The 21,666-nt window shown below is 43.0% G+C and overlaps 1 long non-coding RNA gene across 9 annotated transcripts in view; it reads left to right on the plus strand.

Annotated features, from left to right (window-relative positions):
* The first annotated feature begins 2,101 nt into the window (after window positions 1-2,101).
* LOC105376205 (uncharacterized) overlaps window positions 2,102-21,666 on the plus strand; it is a 98,539-nt gene continuing 78,974 nt past the window's right edge. For 3 of the 9 annotated variants that reach the window (XR_930217.2, XR_930218.2, XR_930216.2), the window contains exons 1-4: window positions 2,102-2,510; window positions 4,372-4,527; window positions 11,220-11,411; window positions 21,392-21,490. This is a non-coding gene — a long non-coding RNA (uncharacterized LOC105376205). Of the gene's footprint in view, window positions 2,511-4,371; window positions 4,528-6,987; window positions 7,030-7,522; window positions 8,003-11,219; window positions 11,412-12,317; window positions 12,429-15,201; window positions 15,232-21,391; window positions 21,491-21,666 lie in introns of those variants that run through there. The other 6 variants (XR_930219.2, XR_930221.2, XR_930222.2 and 3 more) reach the window with 6 other exon arrangements.

Raw genomic sequence — 21,666 nt, forward strand, 5'->3', positions numbered from 1 at the left:
CCCAGGCAGCAGGCTCAGACAGGGGTCACACTGGATGATCCTACGTGCTTTGCCGGTGGTCACTGCCAAAGGACTCCTAGGGTGCACAGTTTTTAAGAAGGCTCGCTCTCTCAGGGGGACCATCCCGCACTTGCATGCCCTTGAGAATGAGGTCCTCCTTAAATATTCACTCTGGTTCTTCTCCTGCCTCGCTCAAGTCCAGGCCCTGGGTCAAGAAGTGAGAGGTGAACTCACAAGCCAGCTGTTCCCAGATTTGGCTTCATACTGAACCACCTGAAAAGCTTGTGAAAATGCAGAATTCCTCTTGAATCTGAATCTCTGCAGGTAGGGCCTCGGAATCTGTATATATCAATATCCTCTTGGGTCGTTATCACAAGGCCAACCCCAGGCAGATCCAGGGATGGCCCTTGCAGAGCACTGAGATTTAGGTAAATTCTGCAGATCTTTGCAGTTTACGAATCACTTTTCCATGCACAGAACTTATTTGATTTTCACAACATCTAGGGCATTTTTCAAAGAGGAAAATCACATCAGTTATCATGTTGCAGAGCCAGAAGCAGCACTCATTTATTCAATCAGTCATTCCCATTTTGCAAACATAGCTTAAGTGTCTACTGAGCCACCAACAAGGAAATTGTCACTTAGTAGTGAATACACACACATACACACATAGACTACTTAAAATACAATGGCTGACCGGCGCAGTGGCTCACGCCTGTAATCCCAGCACTTTGGGAGGCCGAGATGGGTGGATCACCTGAGGTCAGGAGTTCAAGACCAGCCTGGCCAACATGGTGAAACCCCGTCTCCACTAAAAATACAAAAATTAGCCAGGTGTGGTGGCGGGCGCCTGTAATCCCAGCTACTCAGGAGGCTGAGGCAGGAGAATTGCTTGAACCCGGGAGGCGGAGGTTGCAGTGAGCCGAGATGGCACCATTGCACTCCAGCCTGGGGGACAAGAGTGAGACTGCATCTCAAACAAAACAAAACAAACAAACAAACAAAACTAGGGCTGTGGAGCTCACAGGAAGGAGAAGTAGGGAGTGTGTTGGGAGGAGACCAAGCAGGTTTCTTGGAGGAGTACTTGGATCAGGTTTTTTTTGTTTTTGAAACTAGGTCTCACTTTGTTACTCAGGCTGGAGTGCAGTGGCTGGATCTTGGCTCACTGCAGCCTCGACTTCCTGGGCTCAAGCGATCCTCCAGCCTCAGCCCCCACAAGTAGCTGGGACTACAGGCCCGTGCCACCATGCCCAGCTAATTTTTTTTGTATTTTTGTAGAGATGGGGTTTTGCCATGGTGCCCAGGCTGGTCTTGAACTCCTGAGTTCAAGCGATCTGCCCACCTCAGCCTCCCAAAGTGCTAGGATTACAGGTGTGAGCCATTGCGCCTGGCCTGGGTTGGGTTTTGAAGGTTGAGCGTGATTTCCCCATTTGTGGAAAGGCATTCTTGCAGCGGGAACTGCACATACAAAGTTGCGCTTTGTTGGGCTTGAGAAAGCCTTAATGTATTCAAGGAATGATAAATAGGTGAAACAGGGTCTCGCTATGTTGTCCAGGCTGGTCTCAAACTCTTGGGCTCAAGCAATTCTCTCGCCTTGGCCTCCCAAAGTGCTGGGGTTACAGGTGTGAGCCACCGCGCCCGGCCCCCAGTGCTTCTTAAACACAGTGTGCAAGTAGATTACCTGGGGATCTTGTTAAAATGCAGATTCTGATTTCATATGTCTGGGATGGGGCATTCTGCATTTTTAACAAGTTCCCAGGGGTATGCAGAGGCTACCGGTCCCTGGATTATACTTGACGTAGAAAGATTTTAGGTAGCTATACTTAAAGTCAGTGTGGAAGATCGGCTGAGGAGGGAAAAGACTAGACACAGGAAAAATATCAAACAAGGCACTGGGGGTGGTGGCTTCTTAAGAACACTGTTGCTTCTCCCGTTACTTTTGGAAGCAGCCCCCATCAGCCCTGGGTTATGTCATCCCCTGTATTTTTCCCTCCCAGAACAGGGCAGGGGATGGGAGGGGTCAGAACTCAGCTGTGCGCACGTCTGTACAGCTGGTGAATGTCGGCAACTGACATCACAATGCTTCTGGGGGATCGTCACAACCTATTGATATTCACTCCATCACAGGACTTGGAACAGTTTTGCTAGCAGAAAATACGACTCTCTTCTATGCTGTGGTAAAATAGTACAACCACAAGGCCAGGATCCATAGAATGTGACCAGCTGTTTCAGTGGTTTTCTGTTACTATTTGTGAAGTCTTCATTCTTGTCATCTCTAGCAGAAGAGTGGTGCCAGTTGCCAGAGGTTTGAGGAAAAAGAAGTCATGGGAGAATTTACATTTCAGAAAATTCCATTCATTGACTTAATTATTTCTGGGAATTCAGAAAAGACCACCATGATCCTTTAGCCGCGAAAACACTTGGGCCAGTTTTGGAAATGCTAGAATCCTGCAGGAGAAGCTTTTGAGAAATTCAGTACTGTGCAGTGTTGTAACCCGAATACTTTGCTGGTATGTGAAGTTTTTGAAATATTGAACAGTGCTATAGCAACACAAGGTGAAATTAACACAGAGAGTGAAAATAATTACAACCAGAGAGACAGTTATCAATCTCGCAGTCATCACCTTGCCACACTTACTATACATGTCAATATTTTATTTTATTTTATTTTTTTGGTTTTGTTTTGCTTTCCTGGTCCTTATCCTTAGGCAGATTTATTATTATTATTATTATTCTGAGGCACTGGCAATAACATTCAATTCTGTGTTCTGCTTTTTCTGCTTAACATTGCAGCATAACTGTTTTTCCATGCTGTTACCCAGACCCCATTAGAAAGTTCATGGGCTGTATAATTCACTGGCTAGATGTATCATAGTTTATGTAAACCTTGCTATTGGCCATTTCAGTCATATGATGCCATTAAAAATGGAATAAGCAACATCGTCAGTGGGAGTGTGAAATGGTACAACTCTTTTGGGAAAGCGATTTGGCAATCTGTATCACAGGCCTGAAATATGTTCATTGCCTTAGAGCTCGTCATTCCACTTCTGGGAATCTGTCATAAGGAAATAATCCAAAGTGCAGACTTGGATTCATGCACCGAGATTAAAACTTTATATATAATAGAGAAAAGCTTGAAATAACCTAAGTGTTTGAATATAGGAGTAGCATTATGTAAATGATTATATACTGCTCAATGGAATATTATGCAGCCATTAAAAATGTTTATGAAAAGTTTATAAATGAAAAATGCTTACATTATGATTGAAGTAAGCAGGATGTAATATTTTATGCTATGGTCCCAGCTGTGTAAATACAGGCTACTAAGTAGGCAGAGAAAAAGTTTGCAAGGAAACACACCAAAATATTAATAGTAGGTGTTGGGAATAGGAATGATTTTATTTTTCTTTCAACTTCTCATGGCTTAAGAAAAACCAAAATAACCTTTATTTTGTTCGGATAAAAAGTTAATGCTTTCATTGAATAAAATTGCAAGCATTAAAGAAATATGTCATGTAGAAAGTTAACCCTTATTCATTGCCCTGTTTGCATTTCTCTAACACATTTTCAAAATTAATTTATTATGAGAATATCAGACCAGACTATTTTTGAAGAAGTTGTACATATTCTTTTTGTCTTGTAGAATTCTTTTGCTTTTTTTTAAATACATGTATCCTAAAACAAATTAAGTTCTATATAATGCAATTGTAGTCAGCATTACGATATCTAGACTTTTCTTTATAAGAAAGAAGAGGAGAACAAGTTCAGCTACTAGGAAAACAGACCTGATTTTGCTTGATATCAAATAGGCATTACTATCAAGTCTGGAATTTCTTTTTTTTTTTTTTTGAGACAGAGTCTTGCTCGGTCACCCAGGCTGGAGTTCAGTGATGCGATTTCAGCTCACTGCAACCTCCGTCTTCCAGGTTCAAGTGATTCTCCTGCCTCACTCAGCCTTCCAAGTAGCTGGAATTACAGGCGTGTGCCACCACGCCTGGCTAATCTTTGTATTTTTGGTAGAGACGGGGATTTCACCATGTTGCCCAGGCTAGTCTCGAACTCCTGACCTCAGGTGATCCACCCACCTCGGCCTCCCAAAGTGCTGGGATTACAGGCGTGAGCCACCATGCCTGGCCAAGTCTGGAATTTCTTAGATGTGGAGTAAAGTCAGTCTGTTAACCAGGTCCTTGTTATTCTAGATAATTCTTATTGATTCCAAAATTGTTTTTTCTGAGAGTTCCTTCAGAACGAGGTCATACGAGCTTTACATTTCTCTTTCTCCCATATCACACGGGGCTCGCTAAGTAGTAGGCACACAATTAAACTTTGCAAAAGGACTGAAAGTTTGACACATGATTCTTTCTTCTCCAGGAGAAAGGGTTACTGAGAGATCATATTCACAAATCAACGTGCAATAGTGAAAAAAGATGGCAACACTGAAGAACCTTACTGAATAACCCAGTATGGACCACGTATTGTAATAGGCACTTAATTTCTCTCAATCCTTTCGATATCTCCTTGAAATAGGTACTATTAGCCCTCAATTTACAGATAAGAAAACTGAGGCTGAGGTTTACACAGCCAGTGAGTGGGGCAGACAGGCTTTTAATCTATTAGTATATCTGTCTGACTCCACAACCTCTGACCTTTCCACGGGGCAGGAGAGGCGCCAGATGAATGACTCAGGAAATAGGGTCATAGGTTTCCCTCTCTGAGGCAAGTGTACTTTCATGCCAGGCAGCTAATCAAAGGTCCCTGTTTTATTTATTATTGTCTGGCTATCTTCTGTTCTGCATTCCATGAGCCAGTAAGCTCGTAAAGGGTAAGGCATTTTCTTTCTTTCTTCTAATAACAGTACATTGGCACCTCTCTGCCCAATTAGAGGATTGAGTTCTATTCCTTAGTCTACATGCTGATGTCTGTGCCTGACCAACATAATCCCTCCCCTGAACAATATAAAACAGACCAGGGGCTGGGCGCCATGGCTCAAGCCTGTAATCCCAGCACTTTAGAAGCCCAAGGTGGGCCTGATTGCTTAAGCCCAGGAGTTCGGGACAACCTGGGCAACGTGGTGAAACCCCATCTCTACAAATAATATAAAAATTACCCAGGCATGGTGGCACACACCTGTAGTCCCAGCTACTCAGGAGACTGAGGTCAGAGGATCTCTTGATCCTGAGAGGTGGAGGCTGCAATGAGCCGTGATTGTACCACTGCACTCCAGCCTGGGTGACAGAGTCCAACCCCGTGTCAAAAAAAAATAAAATAAAGCAAAAAACAAAAAGCAGACCGAGATGCTTCCCTACCAAAGAGCACTGAGAAATGATTAGCTTCCCCATCCTTGTCTTTCCTGAGCATATCTGCTTCATGTCACCAGGTAGTGACTGTCCATTCGAAAGACAGGAGAGGAGCAAGCGCAGAGAGCTAGATTCGTGGAAAGAGTAACACATTCAAAGGGCATAACTCTGAACTCATTTACTTAAAAAATTTACGGCCGATTTTCATTATTTGTGGCAGCTGTTTTCTGTAAAGTTGCAATGAACGCTGAATTACTGAATACTAAACGGTAGCTCCCAGGGGATATACTGGGTAAGGTCCCTTTGAATCTCTGGTCCCAATGTTTTCACCCACCAATCAATATGTAACTGTGTCGTATGTGTGCTTCTGTTTAAAGACACCTTATTTAGGCTGGGCGTGGTGGCTCAGGCTTGTAATCCCAGCACTTTGGGAGGCTGAGGTGGGCAGATCCCCTGAGGTCAGGAGTTGAAGACCAGCCTGGTCAACATGGTGAAACCCTGTCACTACTAAAAATACAAAAATTAGCCAGGTGTGGTGGCACATGCCTGTAATCCCAGCTACTCGGGAGGCTGAGGCAGGAGAATAACTTAAACTCCAGGAGATGGATGTTGCAGTGAGCTGAGATCGCACCACTGCACCCTAGCCTGGGTGACAGAGCGAGACTCTGTCTCAAAAAACAAACAAAAAAAATAAAATAAAGGCACCTTATTTAATATATCTTGTTGATTCATTAACATTGAATTCACAGCCTACAGCAATATAACGAATGCCTAAATAAAGCTTATTTATAACGCACATCACAGCCTTCTTAGGCTTGGGAACACCAGACAGCACTTCAGCACTGTTCCTGGAGACCACGTTAAACAGCCAAATTACCAACAAAAAGCAGAAACAGCTGGGCGCAGTGGCTCATGTCTGTAATCCCAGCACTTTGGGAGGCTAAGGTGGGCAGATCACCTGAGGTCAGGAGTTCGAGACCAGCCTGGCCAACATGGTGAAACCCATCTCTACTAAAAACACAAAAATTAGCCAGGCGTGGTCGTTTGTACCTGTAATCCCAGGTACATGGGAGTCTGACGCAGGAGAATCGCTTGACCCCAGGAGGCAGAGGTTGCAGTGAGCTGAGATCGTGCCACTGCACTCCAGCCTGGGGGACAGAGCGAGACTCCATCTCAAAACAAAACAAACAAAAAGACAAGACAAAACAAAACAAAAAGCACAAACATATGAAAAATGTGTGTGGCACTAAATGGGTTGCAAAAAGGACACATATATAGTTGGGGAACTGAAACAAGAAGACAGAGTACCACCTTGCTAACGTCAGCTGGGAAGGTATGTGGGTGACTCAGATGTTTCATTCCTTCTCCCATGTCTGTGAATGGCCATGAAAGTGCAATAAGTTTTGATTTTGGGGTTACAAATACATTTTAGTAAGGAGGCAAATTCATAAATATGGAATCTTTAAATGAGGATTGACTGTAATTGCATCAGTGACAATTGCTGAATTAGACATCTGGTGGGCTATTGCATTTTTTTGATATTTGCAAGGCTGGTATAAGATAAACCTTAAACTCTTAAGATGACAACTTTTTTTTTTTTTTTTTTTGAGACAGGGTCTCGCTCTGTCACCCAGGCTGGAGTGCAATGATGTGATCTCGGCTCACTGCAACCTCCACCTCTGGGGTTCAAGAGATTCTCCTGCCTCAGCCTCTCAAGTAGCTGGGATTACAGGTGCGTACCACCACACCCAGCTAATATTCGTATTTTTAGTAGACACAAGGTTTCACCATGTTGGCCAGGCTGATCTTGATCTCTTGACCTCGTGATCTGCCTGCCTCGGCCTCTCAAAGTGCTGGGATTACAGGCGTGGAGCCACCGCACCCGGCTGGAGATGGGGTTTCACCACATTGGCCAGGCTGGTCTTGAACTCCTGACCTCAGGTGATCCGCCCGCCTTGGCCTCCCAAAGTGCAGGGATTAGAGGCATAAGCCACCGTGCCCTGCCTAAGATGATAATTTTCCCTCCAATTCCCTAGATATGGACTGAGATCCAAAGTCTGGGTAAATAAGAGAAAGAGGACAGGAACTTTCTTCCTCTCAGTAGCCTCCTCCCATTCCCTCTTTCCTGAATTCTTTTCTTTGAGAGAAATCATATTTAGGTTAAGACAAAAAGAACAATAGTGCGTGTAAAGCTTCTGACCTCACCCAAAAACATTATAAAATGAGCTATAAATCCAGGGAACACAATGTCTGCACATTCTGCAGCTTTCCAGAAAATCTAGGCCAGGCAACTGGAGGGGATAGGATGGGAAAGTGGGGGCTGGAGAATAATTTCTCACTCCTCCAGTGCTAATAGTCTCTGCAATAGGATCCTATTTATTTTCTTATTCAGTTCCCAAGAGCCTGTGGAGTGGGCACACAGCAATTATTGGAGTTAAGCAGAAGGTTGAGCTACATAAAATCATCTGGCTACTTAGCAGCCAGCATCAGAATCCGGGTCTTCAGATCCCACAAACTTGTTTTGTTTCTTTGAGTTTTGAGTTGGAACCAATTGAATCAGTCCCAGATGTTGATATCAGTGCATCTGTAGTTGAGAAGATAAACAATTCTTTCTAGGCCTTGAGAAATTTGCAAAATATTTTACTTTTCTACACTTGTTTCTTGAACACCTACTATATGCAAGAGGTGGGCACTGGAGTCCAAAGGTGAGTGAACTCTGACCTCCACCATGGTGGAATTCTTACTGCCCAATAAAAAGACAATGTCGGCCATAGACATCATGCACCGTCTAATGGCAATTTAGTCAATGACTGACCGCGTGCACGATGGTGGTCCCATCAAATTATCATTGTATTTTTACTACACCTTTTCTTTTCTTTTCTTTTGAGATGGAGTCTTGCTCTGTCGCCCAGGCTGGAGTGCAGTGGCGTGATCTCAGCTCACTGCAAACTTCGCCTCCCACATTCAAGTGATTCTCCTGTCCAGCCTCCCGAGTAGCTGGGATTACAGCCGCCCACCACCACGTCTGGGTATTTTTAGTAGAGACAGGGTTTTACCATATTGGCCAGGCTGGTCTCGAACTTCTGACCTCAGATGATCCGCCTGCCTCAGCCTCCCAAAGTGCCGGGATTACAGGCCTGAGCCACTGTGCTGGGCCCCATTTTTACTATACCTTTTCTATGTTTAGATGTGTGTAGACACACAGATACTTAGCATTGTGTTATAATTGCCCACAGTATTCAGTACAGCAACATGCTGTTTAGGTTTGTAGCCTAGGAGCAAGAGTTTATGTTATACAGTTTAGGTGTATAGTAGGCTCTACAATCTAGGTTTGTGCAAGTATACACTATGATGTCCGCACAATGATGAAATCACCTAACAACATATTTCTCAGACGTATCTGTCATTAAGCAGCAAATGGCTGTATGTAGTTTTCAATTATCTAGTTGCCACAATAGAACTGAAAAGAAACAGGTGAAATTAATTTAATACTATATTCCTTTAACCCAATATATCTAAAATATCATTTTCACATTTAATCAAAATGGAAATTATTTTACTTTTTTGAGACAGGGTCTTTCTTTGTCACCCAGGCTGGAGGGCAGTGGCCTGATCATAGCTCACTGTAACCTCAAACTCTGGGGCCAAGCGATCCTCCTGCCCCAGCCTCCCAAGTAGCTAGGACTACAGGCCTGCATGACCACACATGGCTAGTTTTTTTTTTTTTTTGAGACTGAGTCTCGCTCTGTCACCCAGGCTGGAGTGCAGTGGTGTGATCTCAGCTCACTGCAGCGTCTGCCTCCCGGGTGCAAACAATACTTCTGCCTCAGCCTCCAGAGTAGCTGGGATTACAGGCGCCTGCCACCATGCCTGGCTAATTTGTATTTTTAGTAGAGACTGGGTTTTGCCATGTTGACCAGGCTGGCCTCAAACTCCTGATCTCAGGTGATCCACCTGCCTCCGCCTCTTAAAATGTTGGGATTACAGGCTTGAGCTACCACGCCTGGCCCCAGCTAATTATTTTTATTTTTATTTTTGTAGAGATAGGGTCTTGCTTGTGCAGGCTGGTCTCAAACTCCTGGCCTCAAGCAATCCTCCTGCCTCGGCCTCCCAAAGTGTTGGAATTACTGACGTGAGCCACTGCATCTGGCCTAAAAATGAAAATTCATAATTAGATATTTTACATTTTTAAAAATCTGTACTTGCAAAATTCAGTATGGATATTACACTTCACAGCATATCTCAATTTCTACTAGCCCCTCTGGTGGGGCCCCGTGGCCACATGCGGCTAGTGGCTACCATATTGGGTGGCAAATATCTAGAGGGGAGATATTTCTAAATGTATTTGAAAACCACTATGGGCTCCTGGCCATAGCGAAAACCTGCACCTGTAGCACCGGGAAGGGAGAAGTTCATCCTACCTGGAAATTGTTTCTCAAAGCTTTCCAGAGGAGGGGGCTTTTGAGTTGGACTTGATTGCACTCAGAAGAGCAGGTCATCCTTGGAAAGGTAGGATCACCCATCTGGTGGCTGGTACAGGTGGATGGCGGTGGTGGGGGCTCTTTCTTGAGCCAGTTTGGTTCTGACATTCTTAAGATTGGCTTGAGTTTTGCAGCAGGATTGAGTCCTAGGAGGGGCAATCAATTTTCAGTTCTAATGCATTTGCCCAGGGCTGCATATTAGAGCTGAGTAAGCCAATCGCTGCTATCTAGATGCTCCTTTCAGAGTAGTGCTTCTTTTTTTTTTTTTTGAGACAGAGTCTCGCTCTGTTGCCCAGGCTGGAGTGCAGTGGCGCAATCTTGGCCCACTGTGAGTTCCGCCTCCCGGGTTCATGCCACTCTCCAGCCTCAGCCTCCGGAGTAGCTGGGACTATAGGCGCCCACCACCACGCCCGGCTAATTTTTTTTGTATTTTTAGTAGAGACAGGGTTTCACCGTGTTAGCCAGGATGGTCTCAATCTCCTGACTTCGTGATCCACCCGCCTCGGCCTCCCAAAGTGCTAGGATTACAGGTGTGAGCCACCGCGCCCGGCCTTCAGAGTAGTGCTTCTTAAACTCAAGCAGCACCTGCACCTGGCAGGCTTGTTGAAACACTGATTCCTGGAGCCAATCCCCAGAGTTTCTGATTCAGCAGCCCCAGAGTGGGGCCTGAGAATGTGCATTTCCAACAGGTTTCCAGGGATGCTGATGCTGACAGTTAGGGAACCAGTCTTTGTGACCATTGATTGAGCAGATGAGTAAAGTCATCAAACATTCATTCAACAAACATTTTAAAATTAGTAGTCTGTGAGAGGTATTGCTTCAGCATTGGGGATACAGCAGTGAACAAGACAAGTGAAGGCCCCTCCTTCAGTGAAGCTTCCAGCATGGACATAAATAACGGACATGGTGGGTGACTCAGGGATCTGAAGCTGACCTGATCAATAATATCCCACTGTCAGCTCTGCGATTTTGATAGCTACAGAGATTACCATCTTTTGGCATCCCAAATTATTTCTATTCCCTAAAAGAAAAATCTGTCCAAAGGGATATGCCATTTAATGAGAACCTACTATGTGATAGAATTTGTGCCAAGGGTTTTGCAAATATATTTGCATTGCATTCTGACAACATGAGAAGCACCACTGCCTGCTTTTTTATAGCAGAGGTGACTGAGTTTCAGAGAGGCTGGTTAAATACCTTGCCCATATTTCTACAAACTAGTTTATGGTGCAGCTATGATTTATCCATGGTCTTTTTGTTGGTTCATGGTATTTCCTCGATCTGGTCCTCTTAGCAACATTCCCCTACTCCTCCATTTTTTCTAATTAACTCCTCTTAATCACTCTTTGGATTCCTAAACAAGTATTGATTTTTCAGGAAAGGATTTCTTGACTTTCTGGGTAAGTTTCAGTGGTATACTGATCTCTTATTTAATTTGCAGCGAAGGTCATATGATAGCTGCTTAATAAAATTTGCTGATCGAATGAAGGAGCTAATGAATTCAATAAAATCAGGGAAGGCTTCTTGGAGGAGGAGCACCTTGCTCCAGTGGGCTGAGAAGACATTCCATGAGACCAGAGCAAGGAGAGGAGTGGCCTGGCAGCTGAAGCCAGAGACAGACTTGAACCTGGAGGTATGAAAGCCTGTGTGGGGGATCAGGTAGTCTGTACAATCTTGGGGCTTGGTAGGTTTCAAGTGGAGGCCACACTGCGGGGAGATTGTAGGGGTTGACAGGGAATTCTGATTAAGCTATTTCAGGAAATAGCCCCGGAATATTTGAGGGCAGCCAAACCACATGTATTATTTGTTTCTGTTTCAGAGGAAAAGCTCAACAATTTAGGGTTCTGTGATAGGTGCATGGGGAAGGGGGTAGGGAGGAGGAAACATTGTTAAGGTTCAAGCTCCAAAACTGTATTCCTGGGACCTAGAGTCCTAGCTCTGCCCCTTCAGAGCATGTGATTAAGGCCAGGCATGGTGACTCATGCCTGTAATCCCAGCACTTTGGGAGGCCGAGGCAGGTGGATCACAAGGTCAGGAGTTCGAGACCAGCCTGGCTAACACGGTGAAGCCCCGTCTCTACTAAAAATACAAAAAAATTTAGCCGGGTGTGGTGGTGGGCACCTGTAGTCCCAGCTACTCGGGAGGCTGAGGCAGGAGAATGGCGTGAACCCGGGTGGCGGAGCTTGCAGTGAGCTGAGATCGCGCCACTGCACTCCAGCCTGGGTGAGTAAGCAAGATTCCGTCTCAAAAAAAAAAAAAAAAAAAAAAAAAAAGAGCACGTGATGATGGGAAAGTCACCTAACCACTCTGAAACTCAATTTCCTTCTATGAAAAATAGATTTTTAAAAATCACTAATTTATTGCATTTTGGTGAGGATTAAATGAGATAATATAGCATTGATGTACCCAGGATGACGTCTGGCACCTGACAAGCATGACAAATAGTAGCTATTGCCATGAAGATGAGTTTCCTCTTGTCTCTCCTTTCCTTCTCTCTTCTCTCCCTCTTCTTCCTTTCTTCACACATGCCCATGAGAAGATTTATAAGGGGTTCTGAGCAGAGCCCTGGAACTGGTTCTTGGCATCTACGCAGATGGGACATCACAGAGGGGCTAAAGGACGGAGCCTAGGGCAGCAGGGTGAGGCTCAAGGTAAAGCCGGTCATAGCCCGGGGCATCCAGATCATTCACCTTTTGGCATCCCAGTTTCTGCATCCGCATCAGGGTCACCATAATCCCAGCTGATCATTATTGCTACTATTATTGTCTCACTGCCTCAAATTCCTAATCTCCTCCCAGGAAATAATGTAGCAACTACTGAGGCCAGCAAGGGGCTGAGTCCAAATCAGATGAATACCATAGAACATGCTAATCTGAAGGGAAGTTCCTGCCTGGAGTAGAGGCCGCATTGCACTCACCTCCACACGAAACCAAAACAAAAAAATCAAGAGAAACAAATGATGCTTAAAACAGGAAAATCTTTCAGAGTTCACTTGGCTGCAGAGTCTTGTAGGGGACAGAATTACGGTAAATCTAAAAATAATGCCTTGTGTGCTTTTTCATTAAATGCACAAAAGTTTTCTCTTTTCTACTTGCCCAGGGAACAATATAATCCAACAAGCATACTTTGCCTGGTTTCTTTGCGTAGGACCCAGAAAAGCTCAGGGGAGAAAGAGTTCCTGAGATTGTAGTTTGTTGCTTGAAGATCAAACCCAGAGAAAGTTATTTTTATACCTAGTCTTTTTTTTTTTTCCTTCTCCTTTCAACTGTGTGGTATTTATCCTAGAATTAGGGGGTTGGTCTTGTTAAACAAAATATTTTTTTCCTTGATTTTAAAAGGAGTACATGTTCATTATAGAAAATTAGAGACTACTAAAAAAAAAGAAGAAAATGACATCTGTCACTCAAAGCTAGCCATGGTTAATGCTTCATGACTTTTTTTCTTCTAGACTTTTTTTTTTTTTACTATGCTTCTTTCATTTATTTTTATTTTTGAGATGGAGTCTCACTCTGTCACCCAGGCTGGAGTGCAGTGGCATGATCTAGGCTCACTGTAACCTCCGCCCCAATGGGCTCAAGTGATTCTCATGCCTTAGTCTCCCGAGTAGCTGGGATTACAGGTGTGCGCCACCATGCCTGGCTAATTTTTGTATTTTTAGTAGAGACGGGATTTCACCGTGTTGGCCAGGCTGGTCTGGAACTCCTGACCTCAGGTAATTCGCCCACCTTGGCCTCCCAAAGTGCTGGGATTACAGGCGTGAGCCACTGCACCTGGCCAATGCTGAGTATTGTCAGACTTGTCAATTTTTGCCTTTCTGGTGGATGAAAATGATATATCTTTATTTTAGTTTTCATTTTCTTGATTTGTTAATAAAGTTGAATGCCTTTTTAAAAAATCTTTTGCTATTTAAATTTTCCCCTTTTTTGAAATGTCTCTAGTGTCTTTTGCCCATTTTTCTGGCAGGCTGTTTATCTTTTTTTTTTAGGAATTCTTTATGTACTCCATGTATTATTCCTCAGTCAGTATTGTCAGTATTTTCTATCAGTTTTGGCCTTGTTTTTTCACTTTTCTTTTTTTTTTTTTTTTTAAAAAATACAACTTTATTTCTTTTACAGATGAGGTCTTGCTCCATCACCCAGGCTGGAGTGCAGTGGTATGATCATAGCTCGCTGCAGCCTCCAACTCCTAGGCTCAAGCAATCCTCCCACCTCAGCCTCCTGAGTAGCTAGGACTACAGGTGCATGTCACCATGCCTGGCTAATTTTTTTTTTTTTTGGTAGAGATAGGGTCTTGCCATGTTGCCCAGGCTGGTCTCAAACTCCTGGGCTCAAGTGACCTGCCTGCCTCGGCCTCCCAAAGTGCTGAAATTACAGGCTTGAGCCACTGCACTGAATCACATTTTTGAATTTATTAGTTTGATGAAGGTTTATGCTTTTTTGGAGTGTCTTATTTAAGAAATCTTTCCTTACCCTGAAGTTATCAATATCTTCTATATTTTTCCCCCAAATTTAAAGTTATGCTTTTTATTTCAGTCACTATAATACCTGAACCTGATGTGTGTTTGTGTGTTTGTGTGTGTGTGTGTGTGTGTGTGTATGTCTGTGTTGATAAAGTAGGGATCAAAATTTTATTATATCTTCCATCTGAATAACTGGTTGTCCATAACCATTTATTGAATAGTCCATCTTTAACCACCACCAACACACAATGCAAACTCTTTCCTATCATAGATATTTATAAATGCATGGGTCCATGGATCTGTTTCTGGGCTTAATTCTCCCCCAATTAGTGTATATCTCTCTCCACATATCAATACTATACTATCTTAGTATTTATAATTTTATAACAAATTTTGATATTTCACAGAGCAAGTTTACCTACTTTGTTATTCTCCCTCAAAATTGTCTAAATTACAATCACAATTTATATTGATTGTTTAAATTATTTGCCATTTGCTCTTGATCATTCATTTCAAATTAGGTGTTCAAGTTCCTTGGAAAACTCTGCTGATATTTTCATTTCAATTGGATTGAATTTGCAGATCAGTCTAGGAACAGTTGACATCTATATACCAAAACTTCCTATTCATGAACAGAGTTCCTCTCTCTTCTTCCATTTGTGTCTTTAAAAATGTCATTTAACAAGTTTTATAATTTTCTCCACAGAGGTCTTGCACATTTTTTACTAGAATTATTTTTGTTGCCATAATAAGTTTTTGGTTTTTTTTGTTTGTTTGTTTTGTTTTTTGATACAGAGTCTTGCTCTGTCACTCAAGCTGGAGTTGCAGTGGTGTGACCTGGGCTCGATGCAACCTCTGCCTCCTGGGTTCGAGCAATTCCTATGCCTCAGTCTCCCAAGTAGCTAGAATTACATGCGTGTGCCACCATGTCCGGCTAATTTTTGTATTTTTTTTTTTTTTTTAGTAGAGACAGCATTTTACCATGTTATCCAGGCTAGTCTCAAACTCCTAGCCTCAAATGATCTGCCTGCCTCGGCCTTCCAGAGTGCTGGGATTACAGGCTTGAGCCACTGCGCCTGGCTAGTAAGTTGTATTTTTAAAATTACACTTTTAACTGATGGTTATTTGGTTGTAAAAACGTAATTGAGTTTCATTTACTGATAACAATCTTGTTAATTTTCTTATTCTTTCTAAGCATTTACAGTTTTTATTGGTATTTGAATATTGTCTGTAGACAATCATAATTTGGGAATAAAGAATTTTTGTACCTTTCTTTTATATGCTGACTATTAGGGAAATTTTTCTAATTATTCACCATTAAGTATAATATTTATTTTGGATTTTTGCAAATATTCTTCTTCTAGTTAAGGACATTCCTTTTTATTTCTTTACTTCTTTTTCTTTCTTTTTTTTTTTTTTTGAGATGGAGTTTTGCTCTTGTTGCCCAGGCTGGAGTGCAATAGCTTAATCTTGGCTCACCGCAACCTCTGCCTCCTGGGTTCAAGCGATTCTCCTGCCTCAGCCTCCTGAGTAGCTGGGATTACAGGCATGCGACACCATGCCTGGCTAATTTTGTATTTTCAGTAGAGACGGGGTTTCTCCATGTTGGTCAGGCTGATCTTGAACTTCCAACCTCAGGTGATCTGCCCACCTCTGCCTTCCAAAGTGCTGAGATTACAGGCGTGAGCCACTGCGCTCGGCCCTACGTGATTTTTTTTTTTTTTAAAAAAAAGCTTAGCAAACTGAAGTAGAAAGAAATGGCGGGGTAGTGAGCCCCGTATGGAGGCTGCAGTGAGCCGAGATTGCGCCACTGCACTCCAGCCTGGGCAACAGACCAAGACTCCATCTCAAAAAAAAAAAAAAAAAAATCATCTATGAGTGTTGAATTTTAAATAGCTTTTTGTGTGACAGCTCATATGATCTTGTCATTTATCTCCCTTAATATGTTAAAATGATGAATGCCCAAAATGCATACCTAATTTAAGCCAAATTTGGTCATGTGAACTATCTTTTTTTTTTTTTTCATGATTGCTGGCTTTGATTTACTAAAATTTTGTTTGGGGACTGTCTAAGTTCACGTGAAATATTGACTAATGATTTTTCATTTTTATATTACTTTGCCCTATTTCAATAGCAAAGCTGTACTTTTCTCATCAAATGAGTGGGAAATTTATTCTCCTCTTTCTGTTCCCTGCAAGAGTCTGAAGTGATATGTAATTACCTGTTCCTTGACATTTAGTTGGAATTTGCTTTAAGAACTACTGGGCCTGGGCTGGGTGCAGTGGCTCATGCCTATAATCCCAGCACTTTGGGAGGCTGAGGCGGGCCGATCACTTGAGGTCAGGAGTTCGAGACCAGCCTGACCATCATGGTAAAACCCTGTTTCTACTAAAAATACAAAAGTTAGTTGGGCATGGTGGCACTTGCCTGTAGTCCCAGCTACTTGGGAGGTTGAGGCAGGAGAATCACTTGAGTCTGGGAGGTGGAGGTTGCAGTGAGTTGAGGTAGGGCCACTGCACTCCAGCCTGGGTGATAGAACGAGACTCCGTCTAAAAAAAGAACAAAACGAAAAACCAACCTCCCCTGCCAAAAAAAAAGACGACTAACTGCTGGGCCTGGAAGTTATTTATGGAATAGTTTTATAGATTTAATTTATAATAAAATATATTTTTTAAATTGACATATGGCTGTGTGCGGTGGCTCACACCTGTAATCCCAGCACTTTGGAAGGCCGAGGTGGGAGAATCACTTGAGCACACGAGTTTGAGACCAGCCTGGGCAACATGGCGAGATTCTGTCTCTATCTATTAAAAAAAAGTTGATATACAATATTTTTTTTGATAGATTTAATTACTTTAATGGTTAAAGGAAGACTCAAGTTTTCTAATTATTTTTTAGTCAGTTCTGGTAGAATTCTTTTCTAGGAATTTTTCCATTTTATCTAAGTTTTAAAATTTATTGGCATAAAGTCATTCATAGTATGTTTTATTATCTTTTAAATCTTTGCTCTATCTGTAATTGTTCATTCCTTTTATTATTTGTAATGTTATTTTTTGAGCCTCACATAATTTTCTTATTGATCATTCTCACCTAAAATTTATCAATTTTATTAGACTTCATAAAGAACCAACTTCATTAAAGCTCTCTATTTTATTTTTGTTTTCTATTTTACCAATTTCCGTTCTCATTTTCTTATTTTCTTATGTCTACTTTCCTTGGGTTTATCCTGTGGTTATTTTCTTTTTTTTTTTTGACACAGAGTCTCTCACTCTGTCACCCAGGCTGGAGTGCAGTGGTGTTATCTCGGCTCACTGCAACCTCTGCCTCCTGGGTTCAAGTGAGTCTCCTGCCTCAGCCTCTGGAATAGCTGAGATTACAGGTGCGCATTGCCACACTGGGCTAATTTTTTTGTATTTTTAGTAGAGACGGTGTTTCACCATGTTGGCCCGGCTGGTCTCAAACTTCCGACCTCAGGTGATCCACCCACCTCAGCTTCCCAAAGTGATGGGATTACAGGCGTGAGCCACTGTGCCCGGTCCTATCCTGTGGTTATTTTCTAATTCCTTAAGTTGGATGTTTAGTTTATTACATTTCAGCATTTCTTGTTTTTCTAATCTAAGTTTTTTTGTTTGTTTGTTTGTTTGTTTTTGCTTGATTGATTGATTAAGACCAGGTCTTGCTCTGTCACCCAGGCTAAACTGCAGTGGCACAAACATGGCTCACTTGAAGCCTCAACCTCCTAGGCTCATGTGGTCTTCCTGCTTCAGCCTCCCAAGTGTCTGGGACTACAGTCATGAGCCACCACATCCTGCTAATTTTTTTATTTTTTGCAGAGACGGGGGTCTTACCATGTTGCCTGGGCTGGTTTTGAACTCCTGGGCTCAAGAAATCTGCCCATTTTGGCCTCCCAGAGTGCTGGGATTACAGGTGTGAGCCGCTGCACCTGGCCATCTAAGCATTTACAGTTACAGATTTCCCTCTCCGGTGTTGATTTAGTTGTGTTCCATACATTTTGACGTACAGTATTTTCACTGACATTCAGTTCTAGATATGTTATAATTTCCACTTTCATTGCTTCTTTGATTTTTGACTTATTTAGCTATAAGCTCATAAATTTTCAAAAGCATAAGGTTCTCTTTGTTATCTTTTTGTTATTTATTTCCAGCTGAATTGCTCTGTGGTTAAACACTGCATATATGCAATGTTTCTGAATTTTGCTGGATTTGCTTTATAGACTGGTAGACAAGATTTCATGTGTTCACGGAAAACCATATGGATGACACTATATATACATTATCCTGACTCCTCAAGAATTCCCAAATACACAATAATATTTATTAAACAAATGAGGAAACTGAGGCCAAGAGGGGCAAATAGAGAAGGCAGGTGTTAATTCAGGTTGATTTAACTCAAGCAGTTTTTTTTACTTATGTAACTGCTTAATCAGTCATTTGGAAAATAAGATAAAAGAATCTGGGATTATTGGTAAATATGAATTTAAGGGCTGTCTGGGGATTTGCTCTTGTGATATTAGTGCTAGCTCTTTATTTATTTATTTATTTATCCATTCATGATATCTATTGAGGGCTCCCTGAGCTGGACTCTGGACCAGGACAGGAATCAGGCATTTATCCTTGTGAACTTCATGTGTCTTGACCTGCTTCTTAGCATTATGAGATTATTTATTTATTTATTTATTCTTTTTTTTGTGACAGAGTTTCACTCTTGTTGTCCAGGCTGGAGTGCAATGGCGTGATCTCAGCTCACTGCAACCTCCGCCTCCCAGGTTCAAGTGATTCTTCTGCCTCAGCCTCCCAAGTAGCTGAGATTACAGGCATGTGCCACCACACCTGGCTGATTTTGTATTTTTAGTAGATACGGTTTCACTATGTTGGCCAGGCTAGTCTCGAACCCCTAACCTCAGGTGATCCACCTGCCTCAGCCTCCCAAAATGCTGGAATTACAGGCATGAGCCACTGTGTCCGGCCGATTATTTACTCTTTTAGTGAGATACAAAAAGAATCTCCTAGCAGTCATGTGGAGGAAACTGTTGAATAAATAGAAGTTGCAAATGCCAGTAATGACCAGGAGCTAATTTCACTCTCTGATTGTTGTGGTGACATTTCTATTATTGCTGGTCATTGTTGCATATTTTTGGCCTCTGCCTCTTCCAAGTCTCTCTCCCTACCTCCTGGTCCTAGCTACCGCTCTGGTTTCCATCTCCAACTCTTTTTTGGAAAAGTTCACCTGATCCCATCACTGTGGTTTTCTCATGAGCTAATGAAGAAATGCCTCGCACCTGATGAACACTGGCTGTTAATCAGCAGCAGTGCAATTACTCTCACACCATCGTCCTTACTACAAATGCCTTCACTGCCTTCTCATTGTCCTCAAATTAAAGGCCAAGCACCTTAGCATGACTCATGGAAACCAGGCCCTGCTTTCTCTCGGCCTCAATTCTCACCACTTTCCCACCCTCCCTAGTCCAGCCACAGAAGCTCTTGCAAGTTCCCAAATGCTCCATGCTCTCTCGACCACAGCTCTTTGCACAGGCTGCTTTCTCTGCTAAGAATGCCCTTCTAGGAATCCAGGCACTGCATCCCAGGACCCAGGCATTCACAGACGACAAACCCAGAGAGGCAACTTTAAAGGGGCTTGGTTCTCAGAAGTTTATCCCAGTTGGGCAGAGTGTGTGTGAGTCGAATGCTGGCTGCTGGCTGCCTGTGAGCTGCGTCTCTAGCCCTAATTTTGCCTCTATTTCTTATCTTAACTGACCCTCGACTCTCTGCTGAGGATACCGTTTGCCCTTGGCCTTTGAGAGTTAAGGTTTTAAAAAATTCCTGACTCCAGATGTGGAGGCAGAGGCTGCCTTCTCCTGCTTTTCATTGCCACTTCCAGATCCTTGCACACCTGCCACTGTTCAGCCTCCCTCTCCTCTCCAAACCTTCACTCACATTTCATGCAGTGACTCTGCCTCTAGGACCAGGCAGTGGCTGGGTGCTTTCTCATGTGGTAGGTGTCTCAACACATCTTCCCAAACCACCTTGCAGGAAAGTTATGCTTACCCCTGCTTTACAGATGGAGAAATTAGAAGCTTAAAGAGGTGAACTTTGCTCAAAGTCTTGGCCAGGGTTGCAAACTCACACCTGCTTCTGAGTCTGTGTTCTTTCCCCTATTCTGTGGTCTTGGAAAGTTTAAGGTTATGTCACTGCTGATACTAAGTGGTGACCACGGGCAAGTCACTGGCCTTTTATGGACCACAATTCTTTCATTTTAAAGCTGGGGAGACCCATATCTATCTTCCCCTTTCATGGGGTTGTTGGATATTTCAAAGCCACTAGAAAGCTCTTTCTAGAAGACACATGAACTTTAAAAGGCCAGTTGAAAGGTCCAACCCTCTGGCTCACTCACTGTCCAAAATGGGATACACCTCTGAGAGACGAGCCCATTTAAGGTCGCCTCTCTGCATTTGTCGTCTGTGAATGCCTGGGTCCTGGGATGCAGTGCCTGGATTCCTGGAAGGGCATTCTTAGAGAAAGCAGCCTGTGCAAAGAGCTGAGGTTGAGAGAGCACGTAGCATTTGGGAAACTGCAAGGGCTTCTATGGCTGGACTAGGGAGGGTGGGAAAGTGGTGAGAATTGAGGCTGAGAGAGAGCAGGGCCTGGTTTCATTTATTTATTTATCCATTCGTGATATCTATTGAGGGCTCTCTGAGCTGGACTCTGGACCAGGACAGGAATCAGGCTCTTGTCCTTGTGAACTCCATGTGTCTTGACATGCTAAAGTGCTTGGGCTTTAATGTGAGGACAATGAGAAGGCAGTGAAGGCATTTCTAGTAAGGACGATGCTGATGAGACTAATTTCCCTGCTGCTGCTAACAGCCAGTGTTCATCAGGTGCAAGGCATTTCTTCATTAACTCATAATGCACTCAACAGCCATTGTAAGTGGGATAGATGTTATTCTCATTTTAAGGTGAAGAAGCCATGAGAAGACTAAGTTCGGCGATGTTAAGTAACTGACCCAAAGTATACACAGGTGGTCTGTTGTTGACCCAGACTTCAACCCAGGCTATCTGACTCTAGGGGCCACTCTCTTAACCCCGCCCTTCTCCTCAGTGGTCGGAGCTGAAGTATTATCTTGCTTGATTTTTCAGTTTACCTTTTTGAGAGTTAAATCTGTGTGGAGGAGGAAAGGAGGAGAGACTAGAAGCGGAGAGGCCCTTTGGAGGCTCTGGTTCAGGCAAAAAAGGATGGTGAGTTTAATCTTGGGAGGGGGGGTGACTTTGAAATTTGGCAAGTTCAAGAGGCTTTAGGAAATTAGAATGAATAGTACATTGATCCATTCACTCAGCAGCTACTATCTGTCTGTTTAGAGGCAGGATCTTGCTCTGTCATCCAGGCTGGAGTGCAGTGGTACAATTATGGTTCA

The sequence above is a fragment of the Homo sapiens genome, chromosome 9, assembly GCF_000001405.40.
Source record: "Homo sapiens chromosome 9, GRCh38.p14 Primary Assembly".
Taxonomy (NCBI): Eukaryota; Metazoa; Chordata; class Mammalia; order Primates; family Hominidae; genus Homo; species Homo sapiens.